Here is an 18,747-nt window from a genome sequence, read left to right on the forward strand (position 1 = left end):
CAATTCCTCAGGGAGGGCTTCCCCAACCTCCCGACCAGGTTAAATCTGCCCATTAGACACTCTGGTGTATGAAATACTTTCCTTCACGAGCAGTGGGTTATCTGTTACTAACTGATCAGTGCCATTCTTCCTACCAGATGACGTGCTTCATGAGACCAGGGGCCAGGACTGGGTTTGCTCCCCATTAGCACTGTGGTCACTTAACACTATGCCTGCCATGTAAGAGATACTCAGTATATATTTGTTTAATGAATGAATGAGGCATCTGCCTCTAAGCAACAGTATTTCTGGACACTTGGCCCATTTTGCACTATCCACGAGCTTCTGTTGCTTAGAAGAATACAGGATAGGAAAAAAAGAAAAATTGCCAAAAATCTATGGATACTGAAATACTAAGGAAAGATGCTGAGCATGTACATTCACTTTGTTTCCTACTTGTGGAATGGAAATCATCACATTGGGATCTCCCAACTTTAAAATCCGAAGTGAAGGTCTAAGCTGTCTTTGGGTTAGACTCCTGGAAAGTCTTGAGGAAATTCCTGAAGTATCTGCAGAAAGTGACAGGGGAGGGAGAATAGAAGATGGCCCAAGACTAGAGTGATGGAAGACTTGGAAACTCGAAAAGCTTTCTTCTAACTAACTGGGACTTTGTCTACATGCCAGCTACAGGCTCAGGCACACATGAAGAGAATAATGAGATGAATGGGAGGACTGGAAAGTGGAGGATTTAAATGCTTAGGAAAGGAGCCAATGAAAGCTGACACAAGGACAGGAGGGACCTAGCAACCAAGCGCCGGCTCTCATCACATCAGCAGCAGCATGTCCTACAGCCTTCAGGAAAAGAACAAAAAGGTCAGGGAGGAAAATGACACATCTCAGAACCAAAGGGCAATTCATTATGAGGCTAAGGAACAAAGGAGAAGTCAACCAGGGAATATGCTGAAGAAACGGTGATTATGAAGTCACTGGGGAAGACTGAGAGGCATTTTGGCTGTAGTTCCAATGACTAGAATGAAGGATGATGTGAAATGCTTTTGGATTGGGAAGATTTATTATTTTGGAAAAAAAATAGCTCAAGGAAAAACAAATGGCAAAATTCCTGCCTGAATTTTGAAGTAGTGTCACTAGCAGGATGAGGTTCAATTTATACATTCTTTAGAAATGAAATGGCCCTTGGAAAAGACATAGTGGTAAGATTCGCAGGACATTTCCAGCCTTACGGAAGCTGAGTAGCATGCTGATAGTAAAATTAAGTTTCAGTTTTAGATAGACTGACATTTGAAATTAACAAAAAAAAAAGTAAAGGGAAAAAATTAAAAGACCCTGAACTGACAAAAAAAAAGAAAAAAAAAAGCAACTACTGTCTTTTTTTTTTAAATTAAATGTCATCACAAACAAAAAAAAAAAGGTGAAAGTTGAGTTGTATTTTGGGCAATCTTACTGAGTTTACAAAATGTTTAGTTCATAGCAGGTTTCAGTTTGGACATGAACAGTTTGTAAATATTTACATAAAATTTAAAGATAGGAGGACAGCAGAGGTCATATATTGCTATTAACAATACAGAAGCGATTTTCCGTCATTCCCAAGGCCTTGGTGCTGCGTTCCCATATGTGGCCCCAGCTCTGCCAAAAGCTTGTCTTCTTTTCCAAAGAAATTCCAATTTTTGCAACCAGCATTGACTTCTGAACTGTGAGTACCTCTGACAGGGTCATATGTCGCTGAAACTTCTTCAACATCCAGACAGGGAAAGGAGAAAAACAGGGAGGCAGATTTACAGCGTCTGCTATCTGAATTGCAGATTTTGACAAATATGTTACATTTTATATTGTTCTCTGTTCTATGTGAGGGCAGGGACCATGTTCTCTGTATGTCACAGTCCTACACCATGCCCAGTCATTGATTCAGGACTGGACTGTGTAATGGAATGGGGAAATAACCTTCAGACATTCAAGAAAACATGCACTATATTCAGATTAAGTTCATTCCAACATGAGATTAGTTCTTCCAACTCTGCAGAATGGGCAGGCACGACACCTACTTCAAAGGGTTGCTTTGAGGAATCAATGAAGTACATTCAGGCAAGGTAGTCAGCACTGGGTCTGGCACATGGTGCGGATTCAGTAAATCAAAACTATTATTTTGGTGAGTGTTCTCAAATGTCAAACTCCCATGGAGGTCCTCAGGCATTACCCAGCCAAGTTACCCCATCTGGTCAGTAACAACTAAATAGAGGGCAGGTGGTTCAAAAGTAATGGATTATTCACCTGCAAGGAATCACACTGTACTCATGGTATTAAATTATTCGGCCTTTCATGTCGAATTCTCTGTTAAAAAGGAAGCTGATCAATCCCTGAGTGGGACTCAATGTTGATTTGAAGTTTTGTTTTTTTGGCATCTTTCTATTTTCCAGGTAGTTGTAACCATTCATTGGGTGCATACTCACAAATCATCCACTATATGCCAGGCCTTTAGAAAACAGAGACACACAAAGATATTAAACAAAAAAAGATGTTTCAGTCTGTTCAGTAGTGGGAGACAAGCAGCCCCCAGGCCGACACTAGCTCTTACATATGCTTTCATCCAAAAATTTTTTAAAGATTTGAGCCAATATTTAAAAATCAGGAAATTCCACATAAATATCCAATATTCAGCTTCCCCTGGAAAAATCAAATGATGTGGCAACACAAAGCCAGTAGTCCTACCAACTGTTCCCTAGCAAGAGTCTACAATGAGTTGAGTAGGGGCGGCCTGCCACTCCACACTATGCCCTGCTCCTCACCAGAACCAGGTAAGTACATAATTTGCAGGGCTCAGTGAAAAATGAAAACGAGGGGCCCTTTGTTCAAAAATTATTAAGAATTTCCGAAGAAAACAGCAGAACCTTATACCAAATATGAGGTCCTTCTGAGCAGGGAAGAGGAAGGGGGCCTATGTAACTGCACAGGTCTTATGCCCATGAAGCTAGTACTGGCTCTCACCCCCTGGACACACAGGAAGATATTTATTTATCTAAGTATTCTCTCATTCATTAACAATCAAGCCTGCATTTACAATAAGCTAGATGTCACACCCCTGAAATCTGAGGTTCAAAAACTAGAGTAGAGGGGCCAGGCACAGCAGAGATAGAGAGCCACTAGGGTCTCTTTCCTTTTTGTTAAGACTGGATCCACACCAGAGACACTGAAAGTTAATCCAAGTAAAATTAAACTGCTCTCAACAATACAGATTGGCTTGAGCCCTTTTGTTGGCATCACAGGAGCCTCGATTAGGAATTCTGAGAAACAGCTCACAAGCGCTAATGAATAACTAAGTCCTGTCGGCTGTGCAGACAGTGGGCCCAGAAGTGAAGGGCTGGCCTAGGAGAGATCTGAACATGAACCTGACCATCTGGCCCTCTGTGACTCACTTTGATCACAAAATGAATTGCAACAAATTGAAGAGCACATGGCTAGAGTTAATTGTCTCATCTGTAATCTGAATCTACTTTTAAGCAGTTATTATTACCCTCTATCAGGTGGAAACATTTCCTACCATCACTGCAAAGTGCATTTTCCTGATGAACTATAATGGATCATTAAATTCCATATCTGAATAACAATACTGTGCACTTATTCAGTGCCTTTCATCCAGGGATTTCAAGGCAGTTTGCAAATAATTAAGCCCCTTACACAGCAGCCAGAGGTGAGCTACTGGAAAAGAATTGCCTGAAGATACTAAGTCAAAGGGCATAATTCAATAGGAAAATAATAAATGGCTTTCTCCCAGGCACTGGTAATACAGAAAGTGAATCCTGATCCCCTCCCTCTCTTTCACCTCACCCCTTCTTCTTCATAGCAGATCCTGACATGCAACATACAAAGAACCAAAAAAGTAACTAACAGGAGTGTTCACAATTTAGCTATGAGTTCAGACACACACTTAACTGAGAAGTGTGTGTCTCCATGTAATCCTGGCAAACACACTACCAACTGACATTTCAGTCCACCTGCAGAATAGACAGACAGCAGAAGAATTTACTCAACACATTCATGATTACCAAATGGCAAACCTGAAGCCTCCTGCAATGCAAAACGAAAATACGGCTCTGCACCAATAAAGTTATGTTCTAACAAAAATACTTTATTCCATGGTTGTGTGTTCCATTTCTGGGACTTCGCTCTATTTCAATGATATTCAGGTTTCGAGAGTAAAAAAAACGTTGGAAATGGGCAATCAATAAATTTCTTTCAAAAACCAGAATACTAGAAGGGAAAACATTTCAGCCACTCAAAGTTTTGTGGTGAAATTATAAACTCCAGAAAAACTGAATTTATAATGGAAATGCTGACAGACCTTTCAGTGGAGCAGTTTGAACGCAACACTGTAATTTGGCAATCTCTCTTACAGACTAAAGACTAATTCTAACAAGATGTCATTTTGACTCACGTTTATTATTACCTGCAAGAATGAAAAACGCCGTTTACTCGGGAGGTGCCCGAGAACCAGGGTGGGGCGATCTCACATTTTAAGCAAGACGCCCGCTGCCTTACCAAAATAGCCCTCTCCGCCAAAGGAGGGGCAGCCTTTCACGCTCAGCTTCTTTCATGTCAGCCCGAGCCTTTGCAGCAAGACGTGCCTTTCCTACATGTTACATTTTAATGATCTGAGAAAACCGTTATCAGCGTTAACATCTCTAATTTTACTCTAAACAGACAAAAGCAAAATATCTCATTAGGCATCATCTCCGCCAAGGTTCCCACTAGGCAGGAAAGGATTTTTATCTAAAGTAATTACCCTTTTTAGTTAAATACACTCAACAGATGAAATTTACAGAGAGTGAGAGACTGCAGCACTAGACAGCGAAGGTGAAAACCAGGAACGCCGCGTCTCGCCGCCCGCGGGCCCGCCGGGAGACTGCGGGTCCGTCTCGCGGGTGGGGCGCCCCGGTCCCTCTCGTTTCCTGGAGGCCACAGGTCACGGCGACGGCGGTGACCGGGAGAGCAGGCTGCGAGGCGCGCCTCATCGGGCCACAGACAAACCACCCCGGCAGCGGCCGCGCCGGAACTTCCCTCAAGTTACCAAACTCGCCTACGCGCGGGAGAGTGCTGGGGATGCCCCATGCGCCCGCGACCCCAGAAGCCAGGAGTGTGCCACCCCTTCACACACTCACTCCCGGCCCTGCACGCTTCCCCTCACGGTCCGAGTTCCTGCAAATGCTTGGCCAGACCGAGGTCGCCGAGATGCTCGCTCCAGTCTCTCCCCTCGTGGGCACCTAGGGTAGCCCGTGAGCGCCGCCCGCCGCCGTCTCCAGCGGCGCCGGGCTCCCGAACACCCGCCGGGTGAGCGAAGCACAGCGGGGCCACGGAGCGCCTCGACGCGGGGACGGGGAGGGCAGTGTCCCCTTCATAAACCAGTCTCCTGGGTGAAGCTTCTGGGGCTTGGAGACTGGAGTGTAGGGTGTGTGTGTGTGTGTGTGTGTGTGTGTGTTGCACCTTGACTTCATGGAGGATCTGTGGGAGAGGAGGTGCAAGGTTTCCCTCTCAGAAGCCTGGCGCCCTTAGGTCTTAGCTACGCGGGACGCTTTCCGACAACCCGATCTTTCGCTAGGAGAGATTCGATCCAGGTCTGCGCCGCGAGGCCCCCAGCTCGCCTCTTCCTGCGACCCTAAACTTGGGCTTTGATTCCCCGCCGGTCGCGGTGGTCCGGGCCACCCGGCGGCGGCTGACAGCTGAGCGCAAAGGCGCCGCGGCCAAGGTCCTCGCGGAGCAGCCCGGGATGCGCACGCCGAGGGTTAAGGAGGAGGCCGCCCGGCCTGGAGCTGGGATCGCAGGCTGGGGGCCGGGACACCCGGGCCTCGCCGGGCCGGGGGCAGGGCCGCGGGTCTGACAGCTGCTGCGGCTCGCGCGGACGCGCGCCTCCTGCAGCCCGCCCTCCCCATGCCTGACTTATTACTCTCTGCTCCTCCTCCCTCTGCTGTTCCAAAACACCCTTCGACGCCAGCAAAATACAATGCGCCTCGGCCGCCGTAAACAGCCGGGAGGGAGAGCACACATTCGGCGCGGCGCGGCCGCCGGCTCGGCTCCCACCCCCTTCCCGTTCCTAGAAAATGCCATAAAAGCGGGCAGGGCGCGGGGAGGGCGGCTGCGCGCCCGGCGGCCGGGGCTCCCTTCCCGCGCCGTTTCCCCACGCCTCCCCGCCCGCCCCGCGCGCCCGCTCCCCCCGCAAACTTGCCCCGCCACCCCGCCCAGCGGCGGGGCCCGGGGCCCGGGGCCCGGGACTCACCTCGCCGGAGAACTTTGCGTCCTTTTCCGCCTCCTCTTCCCCGCGTCTTCCCGGCTCGCAGCCCCCTCCCGGCAGCCGGCGAGGTGGGCAGTTCGTGGGTCACCGAAAGCTCGCGGAGGGGACGCGCATCACATGGCAGCTCGTTCCCAGCCCCCCGAGTGCGCCGGGAAGGGGGAGGGGAAGGGGCGAGGGGAGGCCGGGGGGAAAGCGAGAGCGGGGCGGCGGCGGGAGTGGGCAGGCGGGGTGGCGAGGGCGGCGGCCGCTCACGTTAGCGCTGTGCGACCGCAGCCCGGGCGTGCACGGCCGCTGCTGCCGCTGCTGCTGCTGCTGCTGCTGCTGAGGCGGCGGCGGCTCGGCGCTGTTTGCTCCGCGCCGCGCGGCTTGCGCTCTCCCCGGAACGCCCACACTCTCAATCGCTACATTGTTGACATTCGGCGCTGACGTCACCCGCTCCCCATTCACAATAACTTTACGGGAGCCGGGCAGCGCACCTCCCCGGCCGCTGGGGCGCGGTACGCCCGGCGACTAGCGTAAGCCGCTCCGCGAATGGCGCTCCGGGGGCTGGGGCGGGGGGCGGGGGACGGGGGCGGGCGCGCGCGCTCCGCTGGCTCGCGGGAGGGGGCGCGCCTCATGCCGCCGCAGCAGCAGATCTCCCCGCTTTGTGCGGCCGCGCGGCCCGGAGAGCCCCCTCCTCCCGGCCCGGCTGACCGCCCCGCTCGGCCTGGCCTTCCCGGCCACGAAAGACGAGGGTTGGGGGCATAGCAGGGTGAGAGTAGTGGTGAGGGCTGGTGTGGCACGTGGGGAGGGGGCCAGAGCCCTAGGTGCTGCACCTGGGGAAGGAGAGCAGACGTCGGGACCGGGGATCCCAGGGTTAGCTAGCGTTTTCCCGGAAGGGCAAGAAAAGATGCTCCACTGGCCCCCACAAAGCTGACCGGACTCCCTTTTGGGTGGGGACCGGGCGAGTAAAAGCAGCCTTTTGAATGTTGACTTCTCAATCCTTTTCAGGAGGCCCTCCGCCTGCCCTACTGAGCGAACCTTTAAGCCCCCAAGCCAGTGTTTTTGGAAAGAGAGTGGTCAATTTCAGGAGGACATTAAAAGCCAACCTCCCGGGCTTCAGCCCCAGCTCCTACTGCCTTCCAGCCACTCTCCCCTGCCTTTCCTTTCTGCGGCTCTTAGGATGTTGTTGCTGCCCTTAAAGGCCGTCGTGTGAGTGCCCTGTCAGAAGAAAGCTTGGTGGTGGTTAGGATTTTACAGAAGGTAATTAGGATTTAGGCTGAATGTACATTTGCAATAAAATAAGGTTGTGTTAGTGTTGTGCTGGTGCCTGCAACTTTACCTCTTGCCAAGGCCAGAAAATTCTGCCACGTTTCCCTAAACACCTATAACTTGGCCCTCTTGTGTACAGGCAGTATTCCATATTATTACACGTGGTGCTGATTTTTAATGAATATTATAAAAGTTTGGCTCGCTCTACTGAGAGAAGGATCATAAATCCCCCCTGTAAAACGGGCACTGGCGTATGCTGAGGAAGCAGTGAAGCGTCCTGGGAGTCTTGTGATATCATCTAAAGTGTTGCTCTGAACTACCTTCATTTGAGGGCAGAGTTTTGAAAGGCCCCATTTGGAATGTCTGTGTGGAAAGCTAAGTGATGGCTGAAAGCAAGCTGAAGGTGCTGAGCTAATTTTTCTAACAGCACTGCAGAGTCCCTGCGTGGAGGTCTGGCACGGGACTGTGAGATTTTCTCTGCTAACCGACCCGGCCTTCAGATAAGGAAAAGTCCTAGAGCTAGGAGTAGCCCTCAGTCTCCTGACCTCTGGTCTGGTGCCCCCTAGGACAAAACACCCTGCTTCTGAGGTCCCTGCCTGACCCCTGGCAAGGACAGAGTACTAATTCCTGGTCTGCCCTGGCCAGGCCGTTTCTTATAGTTTTATGGATGGTTCTGTTTCTCATTCCTCATTCTTGTAAGTATGTGTTTGTGAGATAACTTTACGCATTTTAGTAGCAGCAATAAATGTTTTTCTCACAACAAGGGATGCTTGAGAGCATCCGTATGAGAGTGGTGTAGATTCATTTATTTTCAAGCAAGCGGTGGCTGCCCAGCTGTGAGTGGAGTTGGGCACATCAGCGTAGGGGTGGTTGAGGAGGGAAATGAGGCTGCCAGCTGATCTCCCACCTCCATTCTGGATTCTACAAGCTGATCTTGTCAGATGGATACAACAAAGGCTAACAGGTCATTTCAGTTAGTCTGCTTGCCCAAAGACTCAGACTGGAGCTTTTTCACTTTGAGATTTTCAAGCATGAGGTGGGACATTAAATAGAGATGAAAAAACCTAAAACACCTGTGATAGGTTGCATCATCCAGTCATTCAAGGAGGCTGAATTAGGAGTAGTTAGCCTCTCAGGTTACATCCAGCTCTGCAATCATGCACCTCTGGCTGTAAGACGAAATCTTTGCTTTGGATAAGCTTTGAAGTCTGGTAGTGAGTTCATTTTTCTACTTTATTTTCGGTAGTTAGAAGTGGGTTATTTGAATTCAAGCCGAAAAATACATTCAGAATTATGTGAAATTAAAATGGTAAGTCAAGTACTAGACACTCATTTAACAGTACTGCTGCAGAGGTTGGGCTGTGGACAGCCTTAGCACCTCCATCATGAGTTTGCATGGCCACTCCTGGGCTTGTGCTGCTCTGGCAATTTAGGCGTTTATGATGTGAAACAGATCCAGGTCCTTCCCTCTGTATAATCATGGCAGTAAGTTGAGTGGAGGTCAATTTATTTCTCATGCCTGGAGCATTCAACCTTTCCTGATATACATTTTTTTCCTACATAATTACACATGTGTGTTGATCCAGAGCATGGGCTTTGTCTGTGATTCATTTCTAAGCATGATATTTCCAGGGACAATAAATCTGTATCATGGCATTGAAACAAATAAACTTTATTTCTATAATAGAAATCTTCTTGATTGTAGAAAATAAAACAGGAAAAATTAAAATATACAGGAAACAGATGAGGAAAGGAAGACGGACTAAAGACATGGGCAGTTCTTGAGCCTTTGATTTTCTTGCTCTCCAGCACCCTGTACAGGATTTGATGATGTTGAGAAAATATTGTATTTTTTCTTAGGCAGAACAGTAGACAGAATTTCAAATGTGGTACCTTGAATAAGGCATGGCAGGGCAAATTTAACATCCAATGAAATCTGACAAAAGTGAATGGAGTGGGATGCTGTAGGGGTTTCTGCAGACAAGGAACATGTCCTGGCCTCAACTCCTAAAGGATCACTCTGCTGGGTCACGGGAAGTACAGGAATGGAAGCAGAGAGACCAAGTAGGAGGCTATTGAGATAAGTCATTAGAGAGGTGATGGTGATTTAAACTATTAATAGAATGCTAGAATGACAGCCATAAATGGAATCCAGATATATTTTCAGCATAAACCGGACAAGATTTGTTGATGATTCCATTGTAGGATATGAGAGAAGAGTCAAAGGAAATTCTGAATTTTGGACTGAACAGCTTATTAATGGAGAGTTCATTTATCCAGGCGGAGCAGGTATGGGGGAAATGCTGAAACATTTGGTTTTGGATATAGTACATTTCAGATGTCTATCAGACATCTAAGTGGAAAAGGTGAGCAGGTAATCAGACATGGGAATCTAGAATTTAGGGGAGAAGTCCAGACTAGAGATAGAAATCTGTGTGTCATCAACACAGCAACTGGAAACATGGGTGGAGAAGAGGAGCAAAGAGAAGAAGTCTAAGGTTTAAGACCTGGGGCACTCCGACATTTAGAGGTCAGCAAGATGAAGAAAAAAAGATCCCCACAAGGAAGCTGAGAAGCTTCCTTGAGAGAGAAAGGGGCCAGTTCATCCCAACCAACAGAAGGAAGGGCAGCACAGGTGGGGAAGTGCAGGGAGGCTGGAATATCATGGTAGGAAGTATGGGAAGCCGTTGTCTGAGGAATTCTGTTTTCTTAGTGGAGTAAGAAGATAGACCGTTCACTGATAGTGGAGGAGGGAAGGATAGATTTAGGGGATAGAGAAAAGATGTGAACCAGTGCCAGGGATGTGGCAGAATTGCTGGACGGCACAGAGGACCTTGGGGGCCCACTCCTGGGGGCTTTCTGGACACACCACTGCCAAGAAGAGATTTCTCATTGTACAAAATCTCACACAAGTTTTGAAAAATGATCAGGGCAATCCAAACCAGAAAAGCAAAAATTTTGCTTCTAGCTATTGTTAAATTTGGCTGGCAGCCTTTTTCCTTCAAACTGTATATCTCTTATCTGTCCCATCTTCATCTCCTCAAAGATTGCCTCAGTTCCTAAGAAGGACTTTGGAAATAGTCCCTAAAAGAAAGTGATGTTCTTATATTACTATCTATAGTGATCTTCTTCTATAGTAAAGAATTGATGCCACTATTATCTAAAAGCTTATATGAAATAAACTAGTAAAATATGGTATATGAAATAAACTAATTTTTCAACATACACTACTGAGCATCTGTTACATGTTGAGGTGAAAAATTAAGAAACATTGGACTGTATCCTTAAGGAACTTAAATCTACATAAGGAGTCAAAACTAATATACATGAAACAATTGAAAAATGTAATTTTGTATTTGATTTTATTACTTTTATATATTAATATTTAAAATTATATAGAAATTGTATGTGTTATAATTTATACTAATGAAAAAATTAAGAATGTACAGATCTTTTTTGTATGATAGCAAAAAGAAAATGGAAAAATCCAAATGCCTTACAGGAAATGATTGGCTAAATAAATGGTGGTTCATATATAAAATATGAATATCATGGATCCATCAAAAATAATATTGGTGGCTGGGCACGGTGGCTCATGCCTATAATCCCAGCACTTTGAGAGGCTGAAGCAGGCAAATTTCTTGAGCTCAGGAGTTTGAGACCAGCCTGGACAACATAGTGAAACCCCATCTCTACCAAAAATAATAATAATAATGAAAAAAATTAGTGATGAAAATTTATGTATATTGATATATTAATATTTTGTTAGTATAGTTTAACAATAATTTGTATAACTATTTACAATAGGATCCTATTTGTGAAAAAAAATTGCCAGTGCATGCATAGGAAAAATCTGGAAGGCTATATGCACAGTGTTCAAGTGGTTCTCTTGAAATAAAGAGCCTATAAGTGGTTTTACTTTTGCTTTTTAAAAAAATTTTCTGTAATATAAATATATTACTTCTGTAATAAAGGTAGCCAATAAATGTTGTAAAATTCAAAATATGCATAATTAAATTCTAACAAGAACTTAAGTATTGTAGATGTTAAGAGGAAAAACAAATTATGAAGGTTAAAGTAGCCAGAAAAGGTTTCACTGAGAAGGTGGAATTTCAGTTGAACCTCAAGGCCAGGAAGGAGTCAGAGAGGAGGGAAGGTGGCTGGACTTTTAATGCAGAAGGACCCCTTGAGGTTACACTTTCATCTGACTATAGCATTCATATCTTGCAGTGTTGGGAAAGAGTGAGAGGTTGTGATGTCAAGAAGGATAGGTCAGAAGTGGAAGGTATGGGGGATTGTGCCTGCTGTCATGGCTAGCAAGGAGTACTGAAGTACCATGGTGACAAAATGCCATTGTGATCATGACTCATTTTTTCAAAATGTAGATTTTTCCTTCTTTCCCCTCCCAATGGCCAAGACCTTGTACCTGTTACTTGCCTGTTTTCTTTTTTTCCAGACACACCTCGAGCATACACAACCTATGTACTAGCACTATTCTAACTTTTGGAGATAAAACACTGCATAAGTCAGGGCTCCTGGACTAGTGGGGAAGGTGAACCGGTGAAGAAGTCCTCACAGCACACCATGCTAAGGGCCTGAATAGGACAAAAGTCTTCTGGCAAGTGACTTTGCTTAGGAGAATGTGGGATGGCTTCCTGGAGGAGGTGACAACAGAGCTGGATTCTGAAGGATGAGATTTTGTGAAAAGAAAATGTTGGAAGGTCATTCCAGGCAGGAAAATTGGAGTAGCGAAAGTGCAGGAATTGAGATGGTTAGCAGCGACAGCCAGTGGTGGAATATGGGACTGGAAAGGTAGACATGGGAAATCAGCATGAAGGTGTAATTTTATCCACAGATCAAAATTCTCATTGAACTTTTCCAGTGAAGTGCTCAGAATGGCAGAGAAAATGGAATGCTAACTTCCTAGGGATCTGAGAACATGGCCCCAAATTGCCTTTTCAAAGCATAAAATGTCTTTGCAGTTTCCTGTTACATGTTAAAAAATCACCTGAACTTCTTTTGTTCTCTTTGAAGTACATGGGTTGATTTTACTAAAAAAGTTTAACAATTTGTGACGATCAGGACTAAAAGTTCCTCTCCCACACCCAAAATCAAAGTACTGAAGGATGTACTTGAGGAAAATGCTCCGAGTTTATCTTCTAATTTCCCCAGAAACACTGAAAAGCCTGGCTGCATGGGTAGAAAGCCGATGAGTGATCCCCAGTTGCCAAAGAGGCATAATCAGATCTGGTTTTGGAAAGAACACAGCATTGGCCATATGAAGGGGCCTGAAGAGGCTGGAGACTATAAGACAGTAGCTCAAGTCCTACAGCCTATGTTAAGGCAGTGAGCAGGGCTGGGAAGCGCTTATGGTTTAGGGGTCATTTGCTTGTGGGAGGAGACGGAGAGGGAGGAAGAAGAGAAAGAGGGAATGGAGACCTCTAGCCTGTGTGACTAGGAGGGAACTGGCCCTGGGAGGCAGGAGGAGGCTAAGATCACTCTGGTAAAGGGTGGAGTCAAAAGGAGGGAAGTTTGACTTCCTCAATGCTGAAGTTTGAGGAATAGCTGGGTTGGGGATGGATGTGGGCACAGAACAAGGAGTTTATGAAAAAGACAGGAATGGAGCCAACAGGAAGGTAGAAAATCAAGCAGAGACTGGGAAGTTGAGGAAGGTAAGGAAAAGGGCATTTCAATGAGGGGCCTGGGAATAGCATCCCATGATTAAGAAAGGTCTGGTGGGATGGGGGCTGTGTGATATGACAGCAAGGAGCTTCTAGACCCACTGCAGAGGAGGGGGGGAATGAATGAGAGAAGTGGGGGCCTGGAAAGATGGAGAAAGGCAGGAAGGTAGGAATCTGAGTGAAGGAAGAGGTAGAAGGTAAGGTAATGGAGCAGATAACAGAAGGAGCACTGATGTAGAGGAAAAAAATGGCAAGAATGCAGAACTCTGGGGCAGGGGTAAACATGGGTAGGTGGAAGAAAGGCAGAACATGAGCATTAAACAGAATTTGCAGGACGGGGGAGGATCACTCAGATCTCGCCTCTGAAAACTGTCTGGATTACAGGGACATCCAAGAAAGGGATGATGCAAAGATTTTGAAGCTTCAGGATAAGATGTAGGGCCAAGAGACATGAAATTTCGGGTAAGAGCTTAATTTTTCTTTTTTACCTGGGAAACAGGGAAGGAGGTGATTAGGTCAGGCTCAGGTAAGCAAAATAATAATAAAATTTATAATAATCACAAGATTACTTTCTTTTTTTCCCTTTTTTTTTTTTTTTTTAAAAAAAGCTCTAACAATGCTTCCCTTTTTTTACCCTCAGGGTTTGTGATGCCTAGTTTTTTCTAAACTACTCCATTAACTAAATGTCCATCTCTTTATTCTGCCCACCTCTAAAAGATGTTTTTGATCAGTGGTCTGAGTTTTAGCTTTTATTACATCTTTGCTTAAAGAAACTTGGAAAAGTTTGGTCGTAGACAGAAGTAATCTGACAATTTTTAAATTACTGTGAAAAGAAAGCCTTGATGCTTTTATTTTGATAAAAATATACTTGCGATTGAATTATATTTCTCAACTCAGCTTATGAGTTTTTGAGAGACACAGAAAGTTGAGTTCACTAACCCTATAGCAATTTCCCCAAAGAATATGTAAGATGGCACCTACAGTTTCTAATCTGTTTTTCACAAATCTGTTTATGTGATATAATTATGCAAGGGCATCCAACCTGAACAGTGGTTGCAGCAATGTGCTGGTCAGCACAGCTGTTCTGTGCCCCGTGTGTGCATCCGGCATAGTGCTTATGTGAATGACAGACATTTAGGTGTCATCGGTTTCTCCATTTTCCCCAGGTGCTCTCTAAGTAGGTCTCCCACAGTACCACACACTGAGGAGCTAATTTCTCTGCCTTTCGATTGTTAGGTGTGTGTGGAAACCCAGTGTTTCGTGCCCCAACTTGAATTGAGCCTTTGGTGATTTTGCAGAAGGCTGAAAACATGGAGGTGTGCTGTGTTTGTTCCAGCTGCACTTCAGCACCCTCTGGATTTACAGCTCTTCCCAGGTCTTGTCAACAGGCATGCTTCTATTGGTACATTTCCTTGGTGCTTAATTTTCTAAAGCTGGAAAGGATGGTCTAGGGAAGTGGGTTGGGATATAAGGTGTCTTAAGATTGGTGGCTGGGCCATTGTCTAGAGGAGGAACCCGTGCTCCCAGCCTGATGACCAACTTATGCTAATGAAAGCAGATGCTGAATCGGAATGCTTATTAATTTATGATAACCATAAGTGGGTTATTTGCAGGATAGCCTACTTCATTCTGGCAAGCGCTAAGTGAACACTAATTCTTTTCTCTGACACTTTGCTTTTTCAAATTCAGTGACAGATAAAATGTTTATCTTTATGTCTAATCTCACTTCTCTTACCTGCTGCCTCACCTGTGAGTCCATTGCCATCATAGACAGTATCTTTTAAAAATAATTGATCTTGGAATAATGTTAAACTTTAGGAAAAGTTTCAAGAGTAATACACAGAACTACCATATCTCCTTCATGCAGATATCCCAATTGTTAATATTTTAACACATTTGTTCTCTCTTTCTCTCTCCGTATGCCTGCAGAAATATCTAATATAAACACCCATTACCATTATTCTCTTTCTGAATAATTTGAAAGTAAGTTGTCAACAATGATGCTCCATCAGCTGCTAAATGCATCAGTGCACATTTTCAAAAGGAATAATGGTACATAACCACAATACAACATCCAAATCAGAAAGTAAGCATCAGTATAACAATACCACTCAATCCAGAGACCCTATTCAAATTTCACCAACTGTACCAACAATATCTTTTTTCCTTTCTAGGGCAAAGTTTGAGTCAGGATCATGGGGTACAGTTAGTTGTGCTAGCTCTTTAGTCTCCTTCAGTATGGAAAGCTCCCCCTGACATATCCTCAGCCCAGGGAAGCATTAGGGGAAGGGGCAGGAAGGGATAAAGGAAGCACAACTGCACCTTTTTTGACTGTTACTGGATTCAAAGTGTTTTACTAAATTTACTGAGCTGTTCACTTAAGGTTTTTGCAATCTGTGTTGATAAGTTATGTCTCCATTTTTAAAAACAGAAATAGTCAAGTGAAAATAAAGGTTTATACTTAGTTGATACCTAAGAAAGCATCCCATGTGCATGAAGATCACTCACCTCACAAGGATTTTGCATATATTGTTCTTTCTACCTCTTTTCTTCCCCCCAGCAAACTCCTACTCATTCTGCTCTCAGCTAAGTGGAGCTTTCTTCACCACTACCCAGGTCAGATCCTCTTTATAGGTACCTTGGACCTAAATCCTTTGCAGCAATTATTATAATTATATCCACCCCCTCTTTTTTAAAATTTACTTTTTAAATTATGGTGAAATCCACATAATATAAAATGTATCATCTTAATCATTTTTAAATGTACAGTTCAGGAGAGTTGAGTACATTCATATTGTGCAACCAATCTCCAGAATGCCTTTCATCTTGCAAAACATGAAACAACTCCCCAACCCCTGAAAACCACTTTTTAACTTTTTATATCTATGAATTTGACTACTCTAGGTATCAGTTTCTCCACATCATCACCAATACTTTTTATTTTATTTTTTTTCACGTTAGTTTTTTTTTAATAGTTGGCATCCTTATGGGTGTAAGGTGGTATCTCATTGTGGTTTTGATTTGCATTTCCCTAATGATTAGTGATATTGAGAATTTTGTGTGTGTGCTTGCTGGCCAGTTGTATATCTTCTTTGGAGAAATGTCCATTACATTCCTTTTCCTGTCTATCTATCTATCTATCTATCTATCTATCTATCTATCTATCTATCTATGAATGACAAGGTCTCACTCTGTTGCCCAGGCTGGAATGCAGTGGCACAATTATGGCTTACCACAGCCTCAAACTCTTGGCCTCGAGTGATTCTTCTGCCTCTTTCTCGCAAGTAGCTCGAACTACAGGTACACATCATACCTGTAGTTTTTAAACTGCTAATTTTTAAATCTTTTTGTAGAGACAGGGTCTTACTTGTTGCCAAGGCTGGTCTTGAATTCCTGGCTTCAAGCGATTCTCCCTCCTTGGCCTCTCAGTACTGGGATTACAGGCATGAGCCACTGTGTTCAGCTTGCCCATTTATTGATTGGGTTGTTGTGTTGTTACTGTTGAGTTGTAGGAGTTTTTCATATGTTCTGGATATGAACTCCTTATCAGATAGATAATTTGCAAATATTTTCTGTCATTTTTTAGATTTCCATTTCACTCTATTGATTGTGTCCTTTGATGGACAGTTTTAAATTTTGATGTAGTCTAATTTGATTATTTTTACTTTCGTTGCCTGTGTTTTCGGTGTCGTATCCAATAAATCATTGCCAAATTCAATGTCAAGGAGTTTTTTCCCTGTATTTTCTTCTAAGAGTTTGATAGTTTTAGCTCTTATGTTTAGGTCTTTGATCCATTTTCGAGTTAATTTTTGTATATGGTATTACGTAAAGGTCTGTCTTCATTCATTTGTATGTGGATATCTGATTTTTCCAGCATGGTTGAAAAGACTCTCCTTTCCCCATTAATGATCTTGACAACCTTATCAAAAATCATTTGACCATATATATGAGAGGTTTTTTTCTAGACTCTCTTGTATATATGTCTGTCTTTCTGCCAGTACAATGCTGTTTTGATTAACATAGTTTTGTAATAAGTTTTGAAATCAGTAAGTGTAAGACCTTCAAATTTGTCCCTTTTCAAGACTGAATTGGCTATTCAAGGTCCCTTGAGATTTCATATGAATTAGGATGGATTTTTCTATTTCTGCAAAAAACACCATTGGGATTTCCATAGGAAATGCATTAAGTCTGTAGATAATCTTGGATAGTATTGCTATTTTAACAATATTAAGTCTGAATTCATGAACATGAGATATCTTTCCATTTATTTTGTGTTTAATTTCTTTTAGTAATACTTTATAATTTTTAAGTATGCAAGTCTTTTGCTTCCTTGGTTAAGTTTATTCCCAAATATTTTATTCTTCTATTGCTATTATAAATGGAATTGTTTTCTTAAATTTCCTTTTTGAATTGTTCATTTATTCCTCTTTTTTCAAGTGGAGTCACCTGCTCATTTTTTATCTTTTTCTCTGGGCCATAAGCTTCAGGACAGTAGAAACGGCGTCTGGTTTTGCTCAGAGCTAGACCCCAAGTTCTTTGTATAGCACTTGTCAATGAGTATGTGCTCAATAAACACTTGTTAAAATTGTCTAATAGTGTTAGATTAGCTTAGTAGACCCACTGTCTATTCTTATATGTGAACAAATGGTATACTGATGCTGAACCACTTACCTTGACTATCTTTTCAGCCCTCCTCCTCCCTCTTAAAAAGTGATACCTCAAGGCGGGGAACATCACACACCCGGGCCTGCCGAGGGGTGGGGGCCAAAGGGAGGGAGAGCATTAGGACAGATACCTAATGCATCCCAGGGCTTAAAACCTAGATGACGGGTTGATAGGTGCAGCAAACCACCATGGCACATGTGTACCTGTGTAACAAACCTACGCATTCTGCACATGTATCCCAGAACTTAAAGTAAAATAAAAATTTTAAAAAGACACCTAATATTTATTGAGCATGTAGATGTACAAAGTGTCTATGCATGTGTTAATTTGTTTTTCACAATAACCCAGTGAGGCAGACATAGAGTTGAGAGTTTGAGTTCTGGAGTCAGACTGTCTGAGTTTGAGTTATTTAATCTCTCTGTGCCTCAGAGTCCTATAATAAGGGATTTCTAAAATGCATACCTTTTTGGCTTGTCTTGAAGTTTAATTAAGATATTGTATGTCAGATCCTTAGGACATAGTAAGTGCTTAGTGAATACTGATAATTATTATCTCAACTTTTCAAATGTGGAATCAAGGTTTAAAAAGGATAAGCTGCCTTCAATCACACTCAGGCAGTCTAGAACTTGTAAGTACTTAAGCCCTGCATTGAAGTGTACACCATTCGCTTCTATATCTGAGACCAGGTGAGGAAACTCACAAGGCCCTCAGAAATAAAATGTCTGGAGAGTCTGCAAGAAATGGAACCCCCAGGATGGCAGAACAGAGTGTGCAGGGTTGTCCTGATTTTGCCAGCCCCTTTCATTCTTCAGAAACTCCTTGAAACTCCTATCAGGGAAGTCAGGGGGTTCTGAGAGGCAATCTGACTCTACA

At 44.0% G+C, this 18,747-nt stretch overlaps 1 protein-coding gene and 2 long non-coding RNA genes across 5 annotated transcripts in view, besides 6 other annotated features; 1 reads left to right on the plus strand and 2 right to left on the minus strand.

Moving 5' to 3' along the window:
• The window catches only part of BACH2 (BACH transcriptional regulator 2), a 370,316-nt gene extending 363,690 nt beyond the window's left edge, over nucleotides 1-6,626 (minus strand). For both annotated transcript variants that reach the window (NM_001170794.2, NM_021813.4), the window contains exon 1: nucleotides 6,263-6,626. The gene's annotated coding sequence lies outside the window, so the exon portion shown is untranslated. The remainder of the gene's footprint in view (nucleotides 1-6,262) is intronic.
• LOC124901361 (uncharacterized) lies at nucleotides 1,033-4,989 on the minus strand. The gene is made up of 2 exons (XR_007059676.1): nucleotides 2,266-4,989; nucleotides 1,033-1,728 (listed from the first exon to the last, which is right to left on the minus strand). It is a non-coding gene; the product is annotated as an uncharacterized LOC124901361 (long non-coding RNA).
• Nucleotides 4,932-5,021: an enhancer, noted in NCBI's record as "active region_24834". NCBI's record gives its function as "activates an Ori minimal core promoter by ATAC-STARR-seq in GM12878 lymphoblastoid cells {active_cell/tissue: GM12878}" and the evidence as "EXISTENCE:reporter gene assay evidence [ECO:0000049][PMID:35858748]".
• Nucleotides 5,805-5,864: a silencer, noted in NCBI's record as "silent region_17397". NCBI's record gives its function as "represses an Ori minimal core promoter by ATAC-STARR-seq in GM12878 lymphoblastoid cells {active_cell/tissue: GM12878}" and the evidence as "EXISTENCE:reporter gene assay evidence [ECO:0000049][PMID:35858748]".
• Nucleotides 6,490-6,539: a silencer, noted in NCBI's record as "silent region_17398". NCBI's record gives its function as "represses an Ori minimal core promoter by ATAC-STARR-seq in GM12878 lymphoblastoid cells {active_cell/tissue: GM12878}" and the evidence as "EXISTENCE:reporter gene assay evidence [ECO:0000049][PMID:35858748]".
• LOC105377891 (uncharacterized) overlaps nucleotides 7,022-18,747 on the plus strand; it is a 60,354-nt gene continuing 48,628 nt past the window's right edge. For both annotated transcript variants that reach the window (XR_942778.4, XR_007059677.1), the window contains exon 1: nucleotides 7,022-7,519. This is a non-coding gene — a long non-coding RNA (uncharacterized LOC105377891). The remainder of the gene's footprint in view (nucleotides 7,520-18,747) is intronic.
• Nucleotides 8,339-8,840: an enhancer, noted in NCBI's record as "NANOG hESC enhancer chr6:91008275-91008776 (GRCh37/hg19 assembly coordinates)". NCBI's record gives its function as "activates a minimal SCP1, AML or CMV promoter by ChIP-STARR-seq in primed H9 embryonic stem cells {active_cell/tissue: H9 hESC(primed)}" and the evidence as "EXISTENCE:reporter gene assay evidence [ECO:0000049][PMID:30033119]".
• Nucleotides 12,859-13,003: an enhancer, noted in NCBI's record as "145 bp 6:91012867 sequence used in MPRA reporter constructs". NCBI's record gives its function as "activates a minimal TATA-containing promoter with rs56353819 allelic activity by MPRAs in UACC903 melanoma cells {active_cell/tissue: UACC903}" and the evidence as "EXISTENCE:reporter gene assay evidence [ECO:0000049][PMID:36423637]".
• Nucleotide 12,931: a transcriptional cis regulatory region, noted in NCBI's record as "rs56353819 or 6:91012867 MPRA-significant variant associated with a GWAS melanoma risk locus at 6q15". NCBI's record gives its function as "allelic transcriptional activity by MPRAs in UACC903 melanoma cells {active_cell/tissue: UACC903}" and the evidence as "EXISTENCE:reporter gene assay evidence [ECO:0000049][PMID:36423637]".

Source organism: Homo sapiens, chromosome 6, assembly GCF_000001405.40.
Source record: "Homo sapiens chromosome 6, GRCh38.p14 Primary Assembly".
Taxonomy (NCBI): Eukaryota; Metazoa; Chordata; class Mammalia; order Primates; family Hominidae; genus Homo; species Homo sapiens.